The 22,715-nt window shown below is 35.1% G+C and overlaps 1 annotated feature.

Moving 5' to 3' along the window:
• Nucleotides 747-836: an enhancer, noted in NCBI's record as "active region_26221". NCBI's record gives its function as "activates an Ori minimal core promoter by ATAC-STARR-seq in GM12878 lymphoblastoid cells {active_cell/tissue: GM12878}" and the evidence as "EXISTENCE:reporter gene assay evidence [ECO:0000049][PMID:35858748]".

A 22,715-nucleotide genomic window follows, 5' to 3' on the forward strand; every position in this document is an offset into this window, starting at 1 on the left:
CAGCTGATGTTGAGCCCAGAGGGTTTGGTGCGGGAACATCTGTAGCAGAGTATGGCCAGGGATGGCCATTCGTCTAGGCTGCACTTGCTCCCATAAGAGACTTTAGTCCTAGGGGAGGTGTCAGACCTGATCTCTTCAGGGTGGCCTTGAACATCAGATAGGGCTACTCCAACCTGAGCGCTCCTTGGTCAGCTGCCTCTCATGGAGCCCCAGCCTAGACACACCTGCTTACAGGGCAGTCTTGGGTGCCCTGGGGGCCCATGCCATAGTTTCTGTTCTGGCAGACCATGCCTGAATGGTGGAGAGCTCCAGCGAGGCAGCCCCTATTGCCGCACACCAGCCCACACATTCCCTCTGCATGCTGCAGCTTCCCCTGAGCCCACAGCAACTCCTCACATCACTTTGCTGATGCATGTCTACACAGGTGGATTTTGCTTTACTTGCCCCACTAGCAGGCAGGAATGCATTACACCCCTCCCACCCCTGCTGACCGTCATTGCAGATGAAGCCTTGGCAGGAACAGAGCCAGCCAGCCTTCCAGCATCCCACCCATGCGCTAATACTGTGCAGAGAACAGAGGATCCTCCCACACCCTAACTGATCACTCCTGCTTGCAGAGCACAGAGAAGGCACCCAAATCTGCACTAGCCAGCACACTGCCCTACGCCAACACCACCTCTAGTGCAACAACACACACAGCTTCCAGCAGGGGCCTCCCACTCCCTATCAGCTGCCTTGCCTCTGCTACTGTGGTGAATACCCACAGGGAGGCAGGCACCCTGGGATCCACTAGCACTCAGCTGCAGCTGCTGCACCTCAGCACCACCAGCACAGTGGACTCCAAACCCCAAGGAGATAGAGAACAAAATTGGGGCCCAATACAATTCCCCCCCAGGGAGAGTATACAGTTTAGGAGTTGGGAGCTGAGCGCTGGCCTCCTAAAACCTCCCAGAAACAAAGCCAGTCATCTGAGTCCACCTTATACCACAATCAAATCCTTAATGTCATCCAATCAGATAAAAGGAAACAATCCAAAGATCAGCAACCTCAAAAAGTAAAGGTAGATAAACCCACAATAATCAGAAAGAATTAGCATGAGAACACTGAAAACTCAAAAAGCCAAAGTGCCTTTTTTCTTCCAAATGACTGCATCATCTCTCCAGCAAGGGTTTAGAACCAAGCTGAGGCTGAGATAGCTGAAATGACAAAGTAGAATTCAGAATATTGATAGGTACAAACTTCATTGAGCTAAAGGAGTATGTTGTAGCACAATTCAGGGAAGCTAAAAATCATGATAAAACATTGCAGTGGCTGACAGACAAAACAGCCATTATCGAGAAGACCATAACTGACCTGAGAGAGCTGAAAAACACACTACACGAATTTCACAATGCAATCACAAGTATTAATAGCAGAATAGACCAAGCAGAGAAAATAATCTCGACTCTTAAACACTGGCTTTCTGAAATAAGACAGGCAGACAAGAATAGAGAAAAAGAATGAAAATGAATTAACAAAACCTCTGAGAAATGTCAGATTATGTAAAGAGATCGAATCTATAGCTGATTGGTGTACCTGAAAGAGATGGAGAGAATGGAACCAACTTGAAAATCATATTTTAGGATGTTAGGCATGAGAACTTCCCCAACCTAGCTGGAGAGGTCAACATTCAAATTCTGGAAATGCAGAGAACCTTAGTAAGATACTTCACAAGAAGACTATCTCCAACGCACATAATTATCAGATTCTCTAAGGTTGAAATGAAAGAAAAAAAATTAAAGGCAGCTAGAAATGTTAGGCTACATACAAAGGGAAGCCCATCAGACTAACAGCAGACTTCTCAGCTGAAATCCTAAAGCCAGAAGAGATTGGGGGCCAATCTTCAACATCTTAAAAAAAAAAAAATCCAATCTGGCAAAACTAAGCTTCATAACCAAAGGAGAAATAAGATCAGTTTCAGACAAGCAAATGGTAAAGGAATGTGTTACTACCAGACCTTCCTTACAAGAGTTACTGAAGGAAAAACTAACTATGGAAAGGAAAGCCCCTGCAAAAACACACTAAAGTACAAAGACCAGTCACACTATAAAGCAACCATATAAACAAGTCTGCAAAACAACCAGCTTAACATCATGATGACAAGATAAAAATCCATACATATCAATGCTAACCTTCAATGTAAATAGGCTAAATGTCCCAATTAAAAGACAAAGAACGACAAGCTGGATAAAAAATCAAGACCCATTGAAATGCTGTCTTCAAGAGACCCATCTCACATGCAGTGAGAAACATAGGCTCAAAATAAAGGAATGGAGAAAAGCCTACCCAGCAAATGAAAAACAGAAAAAAGGTAGGGGTTCCAATCCTAGTTTCTGATGAAAGAGACTTAAAAGCAACAAAGGTCAGAAAAGACAAAGAAGGGCATTATATAATGGTAAAGGATTCAATACAAGAAGATCTAACTCTCCTAAATATATATGCACCCAACATAGGAGCACCCAGATTCATAAAACAAGTTCTTAGAGACCTTCAAAGAGACTTAGACTCCACACCTCTATGTACATAAACTAGAAAATCTAGAAGAAGTGGATAAAATTCCTGGACACATACACCCTCCCAAAACTGAACCAGGAAAAAATGGAATCCCTGAACATACTAATAATGAGCTCTAAAATCGGGACAGAAATAAATGGCCTACCAACCAAAAAAGTCCTAGGACCAGACAGATTCAGTTGAATTCTACCAGATGTGCAAAGAAGAACTGGTACCATTTCTACTGAAACTATTCCAAAAATTAAAGAGAGGGACTCCCTCCTAACTCTATGAAGTCAGCATCACCATGATACCAAAACCTGGCAGAGATACAAAACAAAATAAAAAAAAAAACTTCCAGCTAATATCCTTGCTGAACATTGTGGAGAAATCCTCAACAAAATACTGGCAAAGTGAATCCAGCAGCAAGTTGAAAAACTTATCCACCATGATCAAGTAGGCTTTATCCCTGGGATGCAAGCTTAGTTCAACATACACAAATCAATAAATGTGATTCATTATGTAAACCAGAACTAAAGACAAAAACAACGCTATTATATCAATAGATGCAGAAAAGGCTTTTGATAAAATTCAACGTCCATTCATGTTTAAAAAAACTCTTAATAAACTCTGTATTGAAAGAACATACCTCAAAATAATAAGAGCCACATATGACAAACCCACAGCCAACATTATATTAAATGGGTGAAACCTGGAAGCATTCCTTTTGAAAACTGGCAAAAGACAAGGATGTCCTCTCTCACCACTCCATTCAACATAGTATTGGAAGTTCTGACCAGGGTAATCAGGCAAGAGGAAGAAATAAAGGGCTCCCAAACAGGAAGAGAGAAAGTCAAGATCCCTGTTTGCAGATAAAGTGATCTTATGTATAGAAAACCCTATAGTCTTATCCCAAAAACTTCTTAAGCTGATAAACAATTTCAGCAAATTGTCAGGATACAAAATTAATGTGCAGAAATAACTAGCATTCCTATACACCAACAACAGTCAAGCCAAGAGTAGAATTAGAAACAAACTCCCATTCATAACTGCCACAAAATAATAAAATACCTAGGAATACAGCTAAAACCAGGGATTTGAATGATCTCTACAAGGAGATCTATAAATCACTGCTCAAAACAATCAGAGATAATTCAAATAAATGAAAAAACATTTCATCCACATGGATAAGAAGAATCAATATCGTGAAAATGGACATACTGCCCAAAGCAATTTACAGATTCAATGCTATTCCTCTTTTTTTATTTGTTTAAACTAATTCAATTCTCATTTTATTTTATTTTATTTTATTATTATTATACTTTAAGTTTTAGGGTACATGTGCACAACATGTAGGTTTGTTACATATGTATACTGCGATTCTTCACAAAACTAGAATAAACTATTGTAAAATTCACATGGAAGCAGAAAAGAGCCTAAATAGCCAAAGCAATTCTAATCAAAAAGAAGAAAGCTGGAAGCATCACACCACCTGACTTCAAACTATCCTACAGGGATACAGTAACCAAAACAGCATGGCATTGGTATAAAAATACAGACAAAAACCAATGGAAAAGAATAGAAAACCCAGAAATAAGACCACACACCTACAACTATCTGATCTTCAACAAACTTGACAAAAACAAGCAATGGGGAAAGGATTCCCTACTCAATAAATGATGCTGGGATAACTGGCTAGCCATGTGCAGAAGACTGAAAATGGACCTCTTTCTTACTCCATATACAAAAATTAACTCAAGATGGATTAAAGACTTACTTAAATGTAAAAGCCAAAACTATAAAAGCTCTGGAAAACATCTTAGACAATACCATTCTGGCCATAGGCACAGGCAAAGATTTCATGATGAGGACACCAAAAACAATTGCATCAAAAGCAAAATTTGACAAATGGGACCTAATTAAAGAGCTTCTGTGCAGCAAAACTGTCATCAGATTAAACAGACAACCTACAGAATGGGAGAAAATTTTTTGTAAACTATGTATCTAACAAAGGTCTAATATTCAGCATCCATAAAGAACTTTAACGAATTTACAAGAAAAAAAAGTCCTATTAAAAAGTGGGCAAAGGACATGATAAAACTCTTTTCAAAGGAAGACATGCATGTAGCCAACAAGCATATGAAAGAAAGCCCAACATCACTGATCATTAGGGAAATACAAATCAAAACCACAATGAGATACCATTTCACACCAGTCAGAATGGCTGTCATTAAAAAGTCAAAAAAAAAAAAAACCACCCAGATGCTTGTGAGGTTGTGGAGAAAAAGGAACACTTATACACTGTTGGTGGTAGTGTAAATTAGTTCAACCATTGTGGGAGACAGTGTGTGATTCCTCATAGACCTAAAGACAGAAATACCATTCAAACCAGCAGTCTCATTACTGGATATATACCCAAAGGAATATAAATCATTCTATTTTAAAGATACAGGCATACATATGTTCACTGCAGCACTATTCACTATAGCAAAGACACGGAATGACCATCAATAATAGACTGAATAAGGAAATGTGGTACATATACACCATGGAATACTATGCAGCCATAAAAAAAGAATGAGACCATGTCCTTTGCAGGGACATGGATGGAGCTGGAGGCCATTATCCTTAGCAGACCAACGTAGGAACAGAAAACCAAATACCACATGTTTTCACTTAAAAGTGGGAGTTGAATTATGAGAGAAATGGACACATAGAGAGAAACAACATACACTGGGGCCTGTCAGAGGGAGAAGGGAAAAGATCAGGAAAAATAAATAATGGGTACTAGGCTTAATACCTGGGTAATGAAATAATCTATACAACAAACCCCATGACACAGGTTCACCCATGTAACAAACCTGCATATGTATCTCAGAGCTTAAAATAAAATTAAAAAAAGAAGATTCACTACAAAAAAAAGAAAATAAAGCTGCAATGTGCACCCTTGTAGACATACCTTTACACACATTTAAATGTTCTTATAAATTCCAGGGTTTTAATATTTAAGACAGAAGATAAGGCATTTGTTTGTTTGTTTGTTTGTTTGGAGACAGAGTCTCTCTCTATTGCCCAGGCTGGAGTGCAGTGGCGCAATTTAGGCTCACTGCAACCTCTGCTTCCTGGTTCAAACAACTCTCCTGCCTCAGCCTCCCATGTAGCTGAGACTACAGGCACATGCCACCACGCCTGGCTGATTTTCTTTATATTTTAGTAGAGATGGGGTTTCACCATGTTGCCTAGGTGGTCTCAAACTCCTGAGTTCAGGCAATCCGCCCGCCTTGGCCTCCCTAAGTGCTAGGATTACAGGCGTGAGCCACTGCACCTGGCCTGACATTTTTAATTTGGTTTGCATAGTTCCACCATTTTTCTACTCCTTATAGAAGTGTGAGAGTGCCCATTTCTAAGAAATCTATGAAATAATATTTTTTTTTACTTTGTCAGTTTTGTTGGTAAACATTTCAACTCATTAATCATTTTTAGAGAGTAAAAATGTAAAAGAATTAATCTCTACTATAAAAAAATTAAAAGAATTTCTATAGGCCAAAAGATAATGATATCACATAGAAATCTAGTTTATAAGAAAGAATGGAGAACAGCATAAAAAGTAAATTGGTCAGTAATTATTAGCAGCCCTTGAAATTACTTCTATACTTACACATATTTTGTTGTCTTCCTAAAGATAATTAACATTTAAATAAAAAATAATAACAAAAATATGTTTATAGAATATTTAGAAGTAAAATATCTGACAACTGAAAAATATATTGTCATAAATTTCTTAAATTTTTATGACATAATAGGATTTTTTAATATAGACTGTGAAAAATTATAAATGCATATTTGTTATCTAAAGAAACACCACTGGAAAACAGAAAGAGGAATGACTAAAATGAGATAAAATGTGTACTTACAAAAATTAAATATAAACATTAAAGCATAAAAGGTTTGAAAGCTAAAGGATTTTTTAAAAAAGATTCATTATGTAAACAGTAAGCATAAAAAACCTGGTACAGCTATAATAATACCTAGCAAAAAACTTGAGGATAAATAGTATTACCTAGAAATTAGAAAACATATTTAATTGGATGATAATAAATGCACAACAAATTAAAATTAGTGAAATGCATCTAACTCAATTCTTAAAGGAAATGTATAGTTTTAAATGTAACATTAGATGAGTAGAAAGGTATAAAGCAATGACTTTTGTTTCCAAGTTTAGAATCTTTGAACAGTAAAAATAGAACCTAAAATAAACATAATAAACAAAATAATAAAATTAAAATAGAAAAAAGAAACACAAAAATAATAGAGAAAATCAACAAAACCAGAAGTTAATTCTTTGATAAAATTAACGGAATTAATAAGTCACTAGAATGACTTTTAATAAATGAGAGAGAGAGAAAGACCCAATGTAACACAAAGAATGAAAAGAGGAACTTCCTCAGAGATGCTGCTAAAACTACCAGTCTAATAATGGAATATCATGAACAACTTTATCCCAATAAGTTTAAAAACTTAGATTAAATGAAAAAAATTATTAAGGCATAAATCACCAAAACTGATTAAAGAAAAAATAGAAATGCTAAATAGCCATCTAGCCAATAAATAAACTCAATTATAATTAAACAAATATCCTCAGCTCCCCTACACACACACACACAAACACACACATACACACACACAGAGGAATAAACAAAAAATACTTTAGGCCCAGACAGCATCACCAGCAAATCTCAATAAACATTTAAATAATAATCCATACTAATTGTATACAAAAATTTCAGAAAATACAGAAGAATGAACATTAACAACTCATTTACTCATCTTATGAGGCCAGTATTTCTCATTATCAATACCAGACAAGAACATTACAAGAAAATAGATTATTGACAAAATGTTTTTGAAAAATATATTCAGAAATTCTTAAAAGTATAAATCAAATCCAACAATATTTAGAGCTCAGATACCATACTCAAGTTGAGTATATCACAGCAACTCAAGATTAGTTTAATATATGATAATCTATTGATATAATTCACTGCTTTTGTAGCTTAAGGCCAAAAATGTTATATAAATATTTAATAGATGAAGTTGGCATTTGACAAAAAAAGCCCCTATAATTTCCAAGCCTCTTAGCAAACTAGGAACAGAAGGAAACTTCTTCAATGTGATAAGTGACAATCTACAAAAATTCGCATTTAATATATTTAACAGTGAAATATTAGATATTTTCCTTCTAAGATGATGTAAAAGGGAAAGATGTCTGACCTAGTGACACCTATTGAACAATCTATCAGAATTGACAATATTTTGCTAAAGAGAAATAAGAAAATTATAGCAATAAATGCAGAAAAATAATAAAGATCTCAAATCAATGCCTTTATTATTCACCTAAAGAAACTAGTAAAAGAAAACAAACCCCAACTTATGCAGAAGAAAGCAAAAATAAAGATCAGTGTGGTAAACAACAAAGGGGAAAACAAGAAAATCATAGAAAAATCCAATTAAAACTTTGAGAACACCAATAAAATTGAGGAACCTCTTGTCAGACTAATCATGAAAAAAAGAAAACACAAATAACAATGTGAAGAATAAGAGCAGTGACATCACTAAATTTTTTTTAAATTTTTAAATGGCAATCAAGGAATACTATGAATAGCTTTGTGCCAATAAATTCAAGAACTTTGATGGAATCAACAAATTATTTGACAAACTCAAATTTCCAAAGCTTAGTCAAGAATAAATAAATAACTTTAAAAGCCCTATATCAATTAACTATTGGAATTTGCACTTAAAAATATTTTCACAAAAAACACCTTAAGCAGCACAAAACTTCAATGGTGAATGCTAGCAGAAACTTATGAAAAAATATCAATCCCAAAAATTATAATTTAAACTAAAACTAAAATTTAAAGAGGAAGAAATTACTTTCCAACTTATTCTTTGATCCAGCATTACTGATTCCAAATCCAAAGTCACTACAAAACAAAACTTCATGCCAACATCCCTTTTTTAAGAGAAACAATACACCATAACCAGGTGCAGGAATAAACACCTGGTTTAACATTTAGAAATCAATCAATATCAATATATAATTCACCATATTAAAATACTTTTAAAAAAACCCAAGTAATAACATCAATAATTGAAGACAAAGCTTTGGACAATGTCTCACAGATCTAATAAAACTCTCAATGAACTAGGCATATAAGGAAACTTTCTTAACCTCATAAAGTGCATATACAAAAAAAACTTATTGTTTACATCATACTCACTTATTGTGAAAATTAAACACTATTTCTCTAAGATTATGAACCTAGCCTGAGCAATAAGACATAAAAAAGAATCAAAATTAGACATATTGGTGAGAAAGAAATAAAAACGCTCATATCAGGAAATGATCTGATCATCTATTTAAAAATCCTATGAAATCTATAAAAAACTATTAGAATAAATGAATTTAGCAAGATCAGTATATAAAAAGTATATTTCTGTATACTAACCATGTAAAATTAGAAATAGAAATTAAAAATCAATAACAAATAGCATCAAAATTATGAAATACTTAAGAGTAAATCTGACAAAGAAATGGAAAGCCTATACTATAAACTATAAAACTATAAAACATTGTTGAGAGAATTAAAAACCTAAACGAATAGATGTAGTGTGCTTATAAATTGCAAGTTCAAATATTGTTAATGTAAGAACATGTATGAAGAGCAAATATGCTCATGAAAATTTGCTTAACTTCATTAGTGATTAGAGAAATGCAATCAAAACCCAAAAGATACACTATTACACACTACTAGAATGTCTGAAGTTGAAAAGACTGACTATATCAAGTTCTGTAAAGGATGCAAAAGAACTAGAACTTTCATACACATAATCACTTTGGAAAACTATTTGGCAGCTTCTAAAAACTGAATACATTTACCTACCACATGATCAGACATTCCACTTCTAGGTGTTTACTCAAAAGAAATGAAAGTATGTGTATACACACACTTAAACGAAATATTCATAGCTTCTGTAAAACTAAAAACTGAAAATAATCCAAATGTCCATCACCAAGTGGATGGATAAACAAATTGTGATATATCCATACAATGAAATTCTACTCATCATTAAAAAGGAATGTCCCATTGATATGCACATGAACATTCAAGAATTTTAGAATAATTATGCTGAGTGAGATCACAAAGTGAAATGAGAAAACTTTGCAGTGAACAATACTTTTAATTTCTTGATTGTAGTGATGATTTCACAAGAGTCACAACTTAGCAAATTATACACTTCAAACTCGTGGAACTTATTATTTCAATTGTACCTTAATAAAGCTGTTAAAAACTAAAAGAAAATAGATAAGTACTAATATGAGAAGATGTATAAGAAATATCAAGTAAAAAATATCAGGGGAATAATATGTATATTATGATCCTAATTTTGTACAAAAATGATACATGTACATGTTTGCATAAAACTAAAAATCTAAAAATAGAAATTTACACTCACAGTGGACCACATAAGAGAGGTAGAGAAGGATTAGGGAATAGCAGTAAGTAGGATTTTTGCTTTATACATAACACATTTTCACAAAAAGCAAACTATTAATTTGACATTTAATTTACATAAATAATGGCCTTAAAGGAATTAGGACTCCCTCATATATATATGTTATAACTCTTTCTGTCTCATTCCTGATTTGTATTTCACCAAGAAAAATTATTTTTTATTTCAAGATGTGCAGCACAAAGTGAGTGTTTGCCTTTTCTAAGGTTATTTTTTAAATTTTAGACTTTAGTCTTGTAGTTTTGGCTACTCCAATATATGTATAGAGATATAGATAGATATATATTTAAATTAAAAAAAAAACTTTTGAACATCAGGTAAATAAAACCAAAATTTAAAATGATGATAAACTAAATCTATATAGAAATATGTTTTTCATTCCAACTAGTAGTAAATTAAAATCTTTGTTAAATATTTAGACCCTGGTATATCTACAGATGGTCTCTCTGTGTGAGTGAAATCTAAAATAAACAGAAGAAAATAGCTAAAACAGTCAAAGTGGCAAACTTAGGACTCAGAAATCTGGCTGCCTCTAGGGGATAATTGCATTTCTTTCCAGGTAACCTCTCACCTTGAATTAATGAGAACATGTAGATATTGTTTTTTAACTTTATCTCTATTTTGTATATAACAGATCAAAAGAAAAGAAACCACCAAAAAAAAAAATGCTCTATGAATCTTTACCCATAACAATCCTAGACTGAACATTTTCATAGATAGGTCAGTTTAAGGACACAACAAATTCTTTACATCTAAATAGCCAACATTTCAAATGGATAACAGCCTGATAATGTTATATAATTCTTATAAATTAATAATGAGATTTAAATGTCAAAACCCCCTATAGTCAATAAAAGAAACCTATGGTAAAGAAACCTATGATTCCCACCTAGACATGTTGTTATAGAAATCATTTTTTACTTAAAATAACCTTGCAACATGGTAAATTGCCAACTTAACAAATGGTTTGTAACAAATCGTTTTTGTTCTAAAAATTCATTTGCAAATCTTATTATTTGGAAATTGAAATAATTTATTTGTTTAAAAAGCAATGCTGGATTTGGTTCCAGGCAAGATACTAAGGTTTAACATTACATAAAGTTTAAAATTACTAAGCTTATTTTAGTGCCTAACATATGTACAGCATATCCTGTGATTGCTAAGGAATAATAGAAACACCATTTCAAATATTGATTTTCATAAACAACATAATCCCCTCCTAAAGTGGTACTGAGGAGTTCCCATTTTCTACATATTCTTCTTTCTGACATGAAGCAGAATCAAAAACAAAACTATAAAATGCCTTTATAAAGCAAAACAAACTTCCTGTTCAAGATGGAAGACTGAAAATATTCATTAATTTCATCTGCCTGTGTAGATCTATTAAGATGAAAATAAGTTAAAAGAGCATTGACTCACTAATATTTCGATTTCAACAAAACTCTGGAAAATGGGAAGAGGTTGAAAAGAAGTCAAGCATAACAGAAGAAACATAAACTAGAATGCATTCTGTAGTAACTTCTTTTGAGGGAGGAGCCAAACTGTCTACCAAACCCCACAGAAGCTCTGCACTCAAAAATGGTGAAACACTATAGATTGGAAATAAAAATTAGGACTGAAACATAGTTTATTTAAAATTCTGTATACTGACATGCAACCCCCACACAGAATGACTGACAACCAGGTATTTATTTTAAACTAAAATTCAGGGGGTTCTTTGTGCTGCATAAAGCAGGTTAATTTGCAGTTAGATGAGAATAGCTCTGTGAGTATCTCCAGAATGCCTACCAGTGAGATATAAATGACCATTCATTAATTGTGCCATGGTTCCCCTGAAACCAAGATATCTTGTACATATCTTGATAGTTTGTAATGTGAAAATGAAGCATGTCCTGTGCAACTGAGAAAATATTCAAGTGTGATGCAACTTTGCCTGCATTTTATCTCTTCTGTTATACAGAATTGCCCTTACTTTTTTATTAAAGCCTTACCTGAGTATACCCTGTGTAGTCTTAAGAGTCCTTTCAACTATCTGAACTTGAGCAGTTTCTGTATTTACTAAATGAATGGAATAAAATATATGGACAGAAGTTGGCAAATTACTAAGGGTGTGGCATCCAAAGTGATGTACTCCAATTTTTACTGCTTAGGGTCTCATAAATTAATGTACACTCACTCTAAAGTAAAACCAGCCAGTTTACAAATCCCTACTTATACAAAGCATATAATTCTTTCACTCTTAAATGAATTAGCAAAAAGGAATCGCTAGACATTTGTGGGGGGAAATATACTTGACTTGAAACACAAATAATAAGATAAATAAATAAGAAAACTGACCAAGGAGGAAACAGATATAACCTAAGAAAACAATATTCTAAAAAATCACCATCCTCAGTGAGACTCAAGAAAATACAATAAGTCAAATTATAATACTTTGCAATTAAGTCAAATGTTTGAAAATTAAAATTACTATATAATTTTATATAGTAATTTTATATATTACTATAAAATATTATATTTTATATTTATATATTATATAATATTAAATATTATATAATATATATCAGCTCTCAGCTTTCCCCCAGGGAGGGAAAGTATTGATCCATGTATCCAATATCCCAACTTCTCTGGGATGCCTAAAAACCTGGCAACATACTTGTCATTCTTGAAACTCTGCTGGGTTCAGCACAGATTAACCACCTGGGAGAAAATGAAGATGATATCTTGGGATGGTATATCCCATAGCTCTGCACCACTGGCTGAGTACAGAGTAAGCAGACAAAAATCAGCTACCTGCTGATTTTTGTATGTTGATTCTGTATCCTGACATTTTACTAAATGTGTTAACTCCAACAGCCATTTTATAGAGTCTTTAAGGTTTTGTGTATATGATTATATCTTCTGAAAACAGGAACAATTTATTTTCAGTTTGGATGCCTTTTATAATGCACTATAAATGAACTAACTGAATAGGAAATTTTTTAAAAATCACATTTATATTAGCACCAAAAAGAATAAAATACTAAGGAATAAGCTTAATCAAGGAAGTGAAAAACTTGTGTACTGAAAACTACAAAATATTAATTAAATTAAAGAAAAAACAATTAGAAAGAAATTCTGTATTCATGAATGGAAGACTTAATATTGTTAAAATATCGATACTACTCAAAGTGATCTACAAATTCAATGAATTCTGTACTAAAATACCAATGAATTTTTTTTACAGAAATAGAAAATCAATTCTACTGTTCATATGTATTATAATCTGATAGGGTTTGGCTGTGTCCCCACTCAAATCTCATAATGAATTGTAATTCCCATAATCCCACGTGTTGTGGAAGGGACTCAATGGGAGGTAATTGAATCATAGGGGTGGTTTCCCCCATGCTGTACTTATAAGAGTGAGTGAGTTCTCACGAGATCTTATGGTTTTATAAGAGGGTTTTCTCCACTTTACTCAGCACTTCTCCTTCCTGCCACCATGTGAAGAAGGACGTGTTTGCTTCCCCTTCCACCATGATTGTAAGTTTACTGAGGCCTCCCCAGCCATGCTGAACTGTAAGTCAAATAAACCTCTTCCCTTTATAAATTGCCCAGTCTTGGATATGTCTTTATTAACAGTGTGAGAACAAACTAATACTTAGTCTGAATGCTTAACTCCTCCCAAAATTCATGTTGAAATTAATCACTCATATGATGGCTTGAGGAGGAGGGGCTTTTTGGAGTTGAGGATGAAGGCTTCATCAATGGAATTAGTGCCTGATATGGTTTGGCTCTGTGTCCACACCCAAATCTCATCTCAAATTGTAGTCCCCACGTGTCAAGGGAGGAACTTGGTGGGAGGTGATTAGATTATGAGGGTGGTTTCCCCCATGCTGTTCTTGTGACAGTGAGTGAGCGCTCAAAAAATCTGATGGTTTTAAAGTGTGGCACTTGCCCTTTGCTCGCTCTCTCTTCTGTCACCATGTAAGACTTGCCATGCTTCCCCTTCAACTTCTACCATGATTGTAAGTTTTCTGAGACCTCCCCAGCCATGTGGAACTGTGACTCAATTAAACCTCTTTCCTTTATCAATTACCAAGTCTTAGATGGTATCTTTATAGCAGTGTAAAATGGGCTAATACAGTGCCCTTATAAAATAGACCCATAGGAACTCGTTCACCCCTCCCACCACATTAGGACATAGCAAGAAGGTGACATAAATGAAACAGGTTCTCACCAGACACCAGATCTGCCAGCAACTTGATCTTGTACTTCCCAGCCTCCGTAAATGTGAAAAATAAATTTCTGTTGTTTATAAGCTGCCCAGTCTATGAATTTTGTTATAGCAACCTGAAAAGACTAAGACAATATGGAAATACAGAAGATCATGAATAGCCAAATCAATCCTGAGAAAGAAGAACAAAGCTGGAGGCATCACAGTTTCTGATTACAGGGTATCTTAGAAAGCTTCAGTAATTAAAACAGTGTGGTACTTGTTTAAATGCAGGCACACAGACTAGACTAATGTCATGGAATAGAGAGCCTAGAAATAAATCCAAATGTATACAATCAATTGATCTTCAAAAAGCATGTCAAAAATACACAGTGGGTGAAGTATAGTATCCTCAACAAATGGTGTTGGGTAAACTGGAATATGCAAAATAAGAACATTGCATCCTGATTTTATACCATTACAAAAAACTCAAAGTGGATTAAAGGCTGAAATGTAAGACTTAAAAATGTAACCTCCCAGAAAAAAAACATTAGGAAAATCTTTATGATATTGGCCTGGTAAATGATTTCATGAATATGACACCAAAAGCACAGGCAACAAAAACAAAAATAGACAAATGAGACTACATGAAACTAAAAAGCTTCTTCACAGTAAAGGAAACAACCTACAGAGTAAAAAAGCAACTAGTATAATGAAAGAAAATATTTCAAACAATATATCTAACAAGAGGTTAATCTTCAAAATATCTGAGGAATTTCTACAACTCAAGATCAAAAAACTAATAAATTAATTAAAAATGGGCTAAGGATGTGAAAAGATATTTCTCCAAATAAGTCATACAAATGGCCAGCAGGTATATGAAACATGCTTAGTGACTAATAATTTAGGAAATAGAAGTTAAACTCACAATGATATATCACCTCAAACCTATCAAGATGGCAAAAGACAGTGTTGATGAAAATGTGAGGAAGTTAGAATCTTTGTACATTGATATGGTTTGGCTGTGTTCCTACCTGAATCTCGTCTTGAATTGCAGTTCCCATAATCCCTATATGTAGCGGGAGGGACCAGGTGGAAATAATTGAAACATGGGGGCAGTTGCCCCATCCTGTTCTCATGATAGTGAGTTAGTTCTCATGAGAGCTGATGGTTTTATAAAGGGCTTCCCCCTTTGTTGGGCACTCATTCTTCTCTCTCCTGCCACCATGTGGAGAAGGACATGTTTGCTTCCCTTCCACCATGATTGTAAGTTTCCTGATGCCTCCCCAGCCATGCTGAACTGTGAGTCAATTAAACCTCTTTCCTTTATAAACTACCCAGCCTCAGGTATGTCTTCATTAGCAGCATAAGAATGAACTAATAGAGTAAATTGGTACTGAGTAGTTGGGCACTGCTGTAAAGATATCCAAAAATGTGGAAGCGACTTTGAAACTGGGTAAGAGGCAGAGTCTGAAACAGTTTAGAGTGCTCAGAGATAGGAAAATGTGGGAAAGTTTGGAACTTGCTAGAAACTTGGAGGGCTCAGAAGACAGAAAGATGTGGGAAAGTTTGGAATTTCCTAGAGACTTGTGGAATGGCTTGACCAAAATGCTGATAGATAGTGATATGAACAATGACATCCAGGCTAAGGTGGTCTCAGATGGAGATGAGGAACTTGTTGGGAAATGGAGCAAAGGTAACTCTTGCTGTGCTTTAGCAAAGAGACTGGTGGGTTTTTGCCCTTGCCCTAGAGATCTGTGGTACTTGGAATTTAAGGGAGATTATTTAGGGTATGTGGTGGAAGAAATTTTTGAGTGGCAAAACATTCAAGAGGAAGCAGAGCATAAAAGTTTGGATAATTTGTAGCCTGAGGATGCAGTAACAAAGAAAAACCCATCTTCTGGGGAAAAATTTAGGCCAGTTGCAGAAATTTGCATAAGTAATGAGGAACCCAATGTTAATCACCAAGACAATAAGGAAAATGTCTCCAGGGGATGTCAGAGAAGTCGTGGCAATCCCTCCCATTACAGGCCCAGAGGCCTAGGAGGGAAAAATTGTTTCCTGGCTCAGGTCCCCAGACCTTCTGCTGTGTGCAGCCTCAGGACTGCCTCCTAGCAGCTTTAGTTATGGCTAAAGTGAGCCAAGCTACTGCTCACATCATGGCTTCAGAAGGTGCAAGCCCCAAGCCTTGGCAGCTTCCATGTGGTGTTGAGACTGTGGGTACAGAGAAGTCAAGAATTGAGGTTTAGGAACCTCCACCTAGATTTCAGAGGATGTATGGAAATGCCTGGATTTCCAGAGAACCTCTCCTAGGGCAATGTGAAAGAGAAATGTGGGGTCAGATCCCTCACATGGAGTCCCCACTGTGACACTGCCTAGTGGAGCTGTGAGAAGAGGGTCACCATCCTGCAGACCCCAGAATGGTAGATCCACTGACAGCTCATGTGCCTGGAAAAGCTGCAGGCACTCAATGCCAGCCTGTGAAAGCAGCCAGGAGAGGGGCCATCCCTGAAAAGCCACAGGAGCAGAGCTGCCCAAGGCTATACAAGACCACATCCAGTGTGACCAGGATGTGAGGCACGGAGTCAAAGGAGATCATTTTGGAACTTTAAGGTTTAATGATTGCCCTATTGCATTTTGGGCTTCCATGGGCCTGTATCTCTTTGTTTTGGACAATTTCTCCTATTTGGAATGGGTGTATTTACCAAATGCCTGTTACCTCCATTGTATCTAGGAAGTAACTAACTTGTTTTTGATTTTACCGGTTCTTAGGCAGAAGACACTTGCTTTGTCTCAGATGAGACTTTGGACTGGGACTTTTGAGTTAATTCTGGAATGAGTTAAGGCTTTGGTGGAATGTCGGAAGGGTGTGATTGTGTCTTGAATTGTGAGGACATGAGATTTGAGAGAGGCCGGGGACAGAATGATATGGTTTGGCTGTGTCCCCATCCAAATCTTATCTTGAATTGTAGTTCCCATAATCCCTATGTGTCATGGGAGGGACCAGGTGGAGAAAATTGAATCATGGGGAGAGTTTCTCTCATCCTGTTCTATAGTAGTGAGTTAGTTCTCAAAAGATTGGGCGGTTTTATGAGGGGCTTCCCCCTTTGATGGGCAGTCATTATTTTATCTCCTTCTGCCACGTGAAGGACGTGTTTGTTTCCCCTTCTGCCATGATTGTAAATTTCCTGAGGCCTCCCCAGCCATGCTGGACTGTGAGTCAATTAAACCTCTTTCTTTTGTGAATTACCCAGTCTCAGGTATGTCTTTATTGTAGCAACCATGGAAAACTATATGGAGGTTTCTAAAAATATTAAAATTGTCATACCATGTGATCTAGCAAGCCCACATATAAGCATATATCCAAAATAACTGAAATCAAGATCTTGAAGAGACATATGCATTTCAATGTTTATTGCAGCAATATTCACAATAACCAAGATGTGAAAACAACTTAATTGTACATCCACGGATGAAAGCATAAAGAAAATGTGATATATACATTCAATGGAATACTATTTTGACTTTAAAGAAAGGAAATCTTGCCATTTGTGATAACGTGTAACTTTGAGGGCATTATGCGAATTGAAGTAAGCCAGTCACAAAAGACAAATACTATGAGGTGTCTAACTAAAATAGTCAAATTCATAGAATCAAAGTGTGCAATAATGGTTCCCAGGGCTAGAGGGAGAGGAAAAATAGGGAGTTACTTTTTTATTAACCATTTTTTATTTATTTTTAATTGAAGCTAAAAAGTGTATATATTTAAGGTATAAACATGATGTTTTCATATCTGTACACATTGTAGAATGGCTAAATCAAGTTATTTAACATATGCATTACCTCACATCCTTATTTTTTGTGGTGATTAAAATCTATTCTCTTAGGAATTTTCAAGTATATGATATAGCATTATTAACTGTGGTCAACATTTTATACTATAGATCTCTTGAACTTATTTCTGTCTACATAAAATTTTGTTCAATAATAATTTTATTTTTTTAATTAATAAAATCTTTGACTAATATCTCCTCACTCCCCCCACTCTCCATCCGCTAGTAACCATCACTTTACTCTCTGTTCCTAGGAGTTCAAATTTTTTTAACACTCCACAATAAATATGATGTAGTATTTGTCTTTCTGTGCACCTTAGCCTCCCAAGTCACTGGGACTGCAGACACATGCCAGGTCCAGCTAATTTTTCCTTTTTTTTTTTTTTGGTAGAGATGGGGTTTCCCATATTGCACAGGCTGGTCTCGAACTCCTGAGCTTAGGTAATCTGCCTGCCTTGGCTTCCACGAGTGTTGGGATTACAGGCGTGAGCCATTGTGCCCACCCCCCTATGTTTTAACATAATATAATGTTCAGGTTTGTCCAGGTTGTCACAAATGACAGGTTTTCCTTCTTTTTTGAGGCTGAATAGTATCTCATTGTGTATATATTCCACATTCTTAAATCTAGTTATCTGTTGATGGACATTGAGAATGATTCCATATCTTGGCTATTGTGATTAATGCTGCAGTGAACATGGGAGTCCAGATACCTCTTCCACATACTGATTTCATTTCCTTTGGATATATACCCAGTAGTAGAACTGCTGAATCACATAATAGTTCCATTTTTAATTTTTTTGAGGAATGTACATGATGTTTTCCATAACAGCTATACTAATTTACTTTCCCTCCAACAGTGTACAAGGGTTTCCTTTTCTCCATACCCTCACCAACACTTGCTCTTTTTCATCTTTTTGATAATACCCATGCTAACAGAAGTGAGGCAATATCTCATTGTGATTTTAATTTACTTTTCCCTGATGATTAGTAATGCTGAGCATTTTTTCATAAACCTGATGGCTACTTGTATGTCTTTTTTACAGAAAGGCTTATTCTGTTTCTTTACCCATTTTTTTAATTGGGTTATTTGTTTTCTTGCTAGTGGGTTGTTTGAATTCCCTATCTATCTTGGATATTAACCTCTTATCCAATGTACTACTTGCAAATATTTTCTCTCATTCTATAGGTTATCTCTTCATTCTGTTGATTGTTTCCTTTGCTATACAGAAGCTTTTTAGTTTCATGTAATCTCATTTGCCCATTTTTGCTTTTGTTGCCTGTGCTTTTGGGCCCATAGCCAAAACATCTTTGTTCAGACCAATATTATGGACTTTTTACCTTATGTTTTCTTTCTTTTTAATTTTTTTTTTCAGAGGGAGTCTCACTTTGTCACCCAGGCTGGAGTACATTGGAGGCATAAACCCCTCACTATAACTTCACTATAACAGCTCACTATAACCCCTACCTCCCAGGCTCAAGCAATCCTCCCACCTCAGCCTCCCAAGTCCCTGGGACCACAGACACGTGCCACCAAGTCCACCTAATTTTTTTTTGTTGTTGTTAGAGATGGGGTCTCACCATGTTGCCCAGGCTGGTCTCGAATGCCTGAGCTTAAGAATTCTGCCCACCTTGGCTTTCACAGGTGTTGGAATTACAGGCATGAGCCACTGTGCCCACCCCCCTATGTTTTCTTCTAGTAGTTATACAGTTTCAGGTCTTGTGTTTAAGTCTTTAATTCATTTTGAGTTGATTTTTGTATATGGTGTGAGATAGGGGACTAATTTTATTATTCTGCATGTGGATATCCAGTTTTCCTAACATACTTTATTGAACAGACTATCCTGTCTCCAGGAAATGGGGAGTTACTAATCAACAGGCATAAATTTTCAGTTAAGCAAGCAGAATAAGCTCTAGAGATCTACTGTACAACATTGTACCTATACCTAACATAATAATGTATACTTAACATTTTTTAAGACGGTATATCTCATTTTAAGTCTTCTTACCACAAGAAAGTAATACTTTTTGAAAAAAAGAAATAAAATGTTCAATAGGAAGGGTAAAATAAAGATTTTTTTTAACTGAGAGAATTGATAGGATATCTAGTGGTTTAATCCAGGAATTCAGCTACCCTGTTAATATTACTTTGAGGAAGGGAGAAGAAATACAAAATCTTTGAGAAATTAAGCAAAGAAAAAAAGACAAAAACATTTTGGAGCTAATTAGAGATGAGAATCTTCAAGATATATATTCTAAATTCCAACAAGGATGGATTTTTAAACTCACCAAAATAAATGTATTATTGTGAACTTTCAGACCACCAAGAATAACTAAAAGTTTTCAAAACAAAACAACAAACATTATAAAACAATGGATCACTCAAAGAATAAGGAGTTAGACTGGCATTAGAATTTTTATCAGCAATATTAAAGGTCAGACAACAATTATATCAATTCCTTTAAAGGTCTATGGGAAAATAATTTTCAGTCTAGGATTCCAGCCAAATTCATTAACAAGTGTGAGGTTAAGATTAAAAACATTTTTATAAATAAAAATGATCAGATGTTTTTTCTGCCATGCACACCATATTGGGAGGCTATACCTGAAGGTGTACAATGGCAATATTGGATTAGAAATCAAAAAAAGAAGAAATTATAGAATCTAGGAAACAATCAAGCACACAATAGGGACAGTGATGCAATAATACAGGATGGCAGGTTCTAAGCCACTTTAAATCACAATCTGTCCAGTACTAAGTAGAAAGACTGAGTGAACTACAGAGGCAGTTCTCCACATAAAAAGAAAAGGAAAGTGTTTGAATGAGAAATTCTGATGTAAAACATACAAAGTGAATGAGAAGCAATTAGAAACGTCAATAACCAGAAACTATACAGAAGCCAAGGTTCAAATATTAGGAAATGGTTTTAAATTAGATTTTAATTGGGAGGCTTTGATTGGGAGCCTGCCCATCTCGTGAATCATTAAGTCAGTGGACTTCAAAAAATAAATAGTTGCCAAGCATGGTGGCTCACAGCTGCAATCCCAGCACTTTGAGAGGCTGAGGCAAGAGGATCACTTGAGTCCAGACAGTCAAGGCTGTAGTGCGCCATGATCATGTCACTGCACGCCAGCTTGGGAAACAGTGAGACATTGATTCAAAAAACAAAAACAAAAACAAAAACTCACAGCTTCTAATTAACCCCAAGTTATTTTAAGATATGTATTGCATTTATTAAAGCAAACTAAATATAGCCCTTCTCAGGCTATATTTAGCCTGAGAAATACAGAAGGACTTCGTACTTCTATGTTTAAGTCCTTGTGGATGAACCATCACCTACATTAATAGGTAGACAAGATCAAAAACCTAACTTAAGAGTATGCGCTTGTAACAATAGCTGAGTCTTGACCAACCCCATCAGCCAATCCCAAATACTCATACACTGCTGAGTGTTCAAACTGTGTTCAAATAAGGCAAACACCAACCTGTAACCCATCCAGCTGTTTCTGCACCTCACTTCCAAATTCTGTATGTCACTTTCTTTCTTTCTTTTTTTTTTTCTTTTTGTCTGTACATTTGTTCTGACCACAAAGCATCCCTGGAGTCTCTCTGAAGGCATCTCTGGAGTCTCTCTGAATCTGCAGTGATTGGGAGGCTGCCCAACTCATGAATCATTTTTTTCTTGCTCAATTAAACTCTGTTACTTTTAATTTGTCTGAAGTTTTAACACATTCAAGCTAAAAAGTTTCATGACTATATATATCTTTGTATTAAAAAAATTTTTAAGAAGTATTGCCAGAAATAATATTAGGTCAGAAAACATATTGTGACATTATCCACTTGCATGTTTGTACCATTCATATCAGGATTCTTGAACCCTCATAGTGAGGGAAAAAAAGGTGCAAAGTACAAAGAAAACACAAATAACTGAAAGATCAAAACCACAGATAGCATCTATAGGGTAAACTCAAGATCAGAGAATGGTTAATATCTTCAGTTTATTTTAACAAATATCCTTTGAAAGGGAACTACAATATACTACGATTTTACTTAAAATATAAATAATTTTTAAAAACTTAATATGAATTATTCTACTTTTATAAAAATAAGATTTAAAATTTAATCCATTAAAATTATTGGCTTTGGTGTTTTTAAGGATATGAACAAAACTTTATTCTAAGGAAAATATTTCTGACCTCTTTCTTTCCCTTCCTGGTCTTTCAAAGCCAGATTCTCAAAACTTAAATTATTTTCAAATAATTCTTAATGAATTCTATCTTTTGAATGAGGATGGGAGTTTCACTGCACTTCTCAAAAATTATAGCAATATAGCAGTTTCAACAACTAAGAGTCTTTAAAAATATATCATGAATGAAATGATTTAAAATTGTTTTTAATGGTTTGTGCCTGAAAGTAGCAAAGTTACCCGTATCTGCATTCCTATAAACATGCAAAACAAATGTTTAGTGAGATACCGTAAGAGGAGAGGAGAAGGTCAGTCAAATGTAGATAAAGGGCTCTGACTTGGCTCTTAGTAAACTTATTGTCTAGATCTTGACAAAAGATGGCACTCAGGCCAATATAA

Source organism: Homo sapiens, chromosome 7 (genome assembly GCF_000001405.40).
Source record: "Homo sapiens chromosome 7, GRCh38.p14 Primary Assembly".
Classification (NCBI taxonomy): domain Eukaryota; kingdom Metazoa; phylum Chordata; class Mammalia; order Primates; family Hominidae; genus Homo; species Homo sapiens.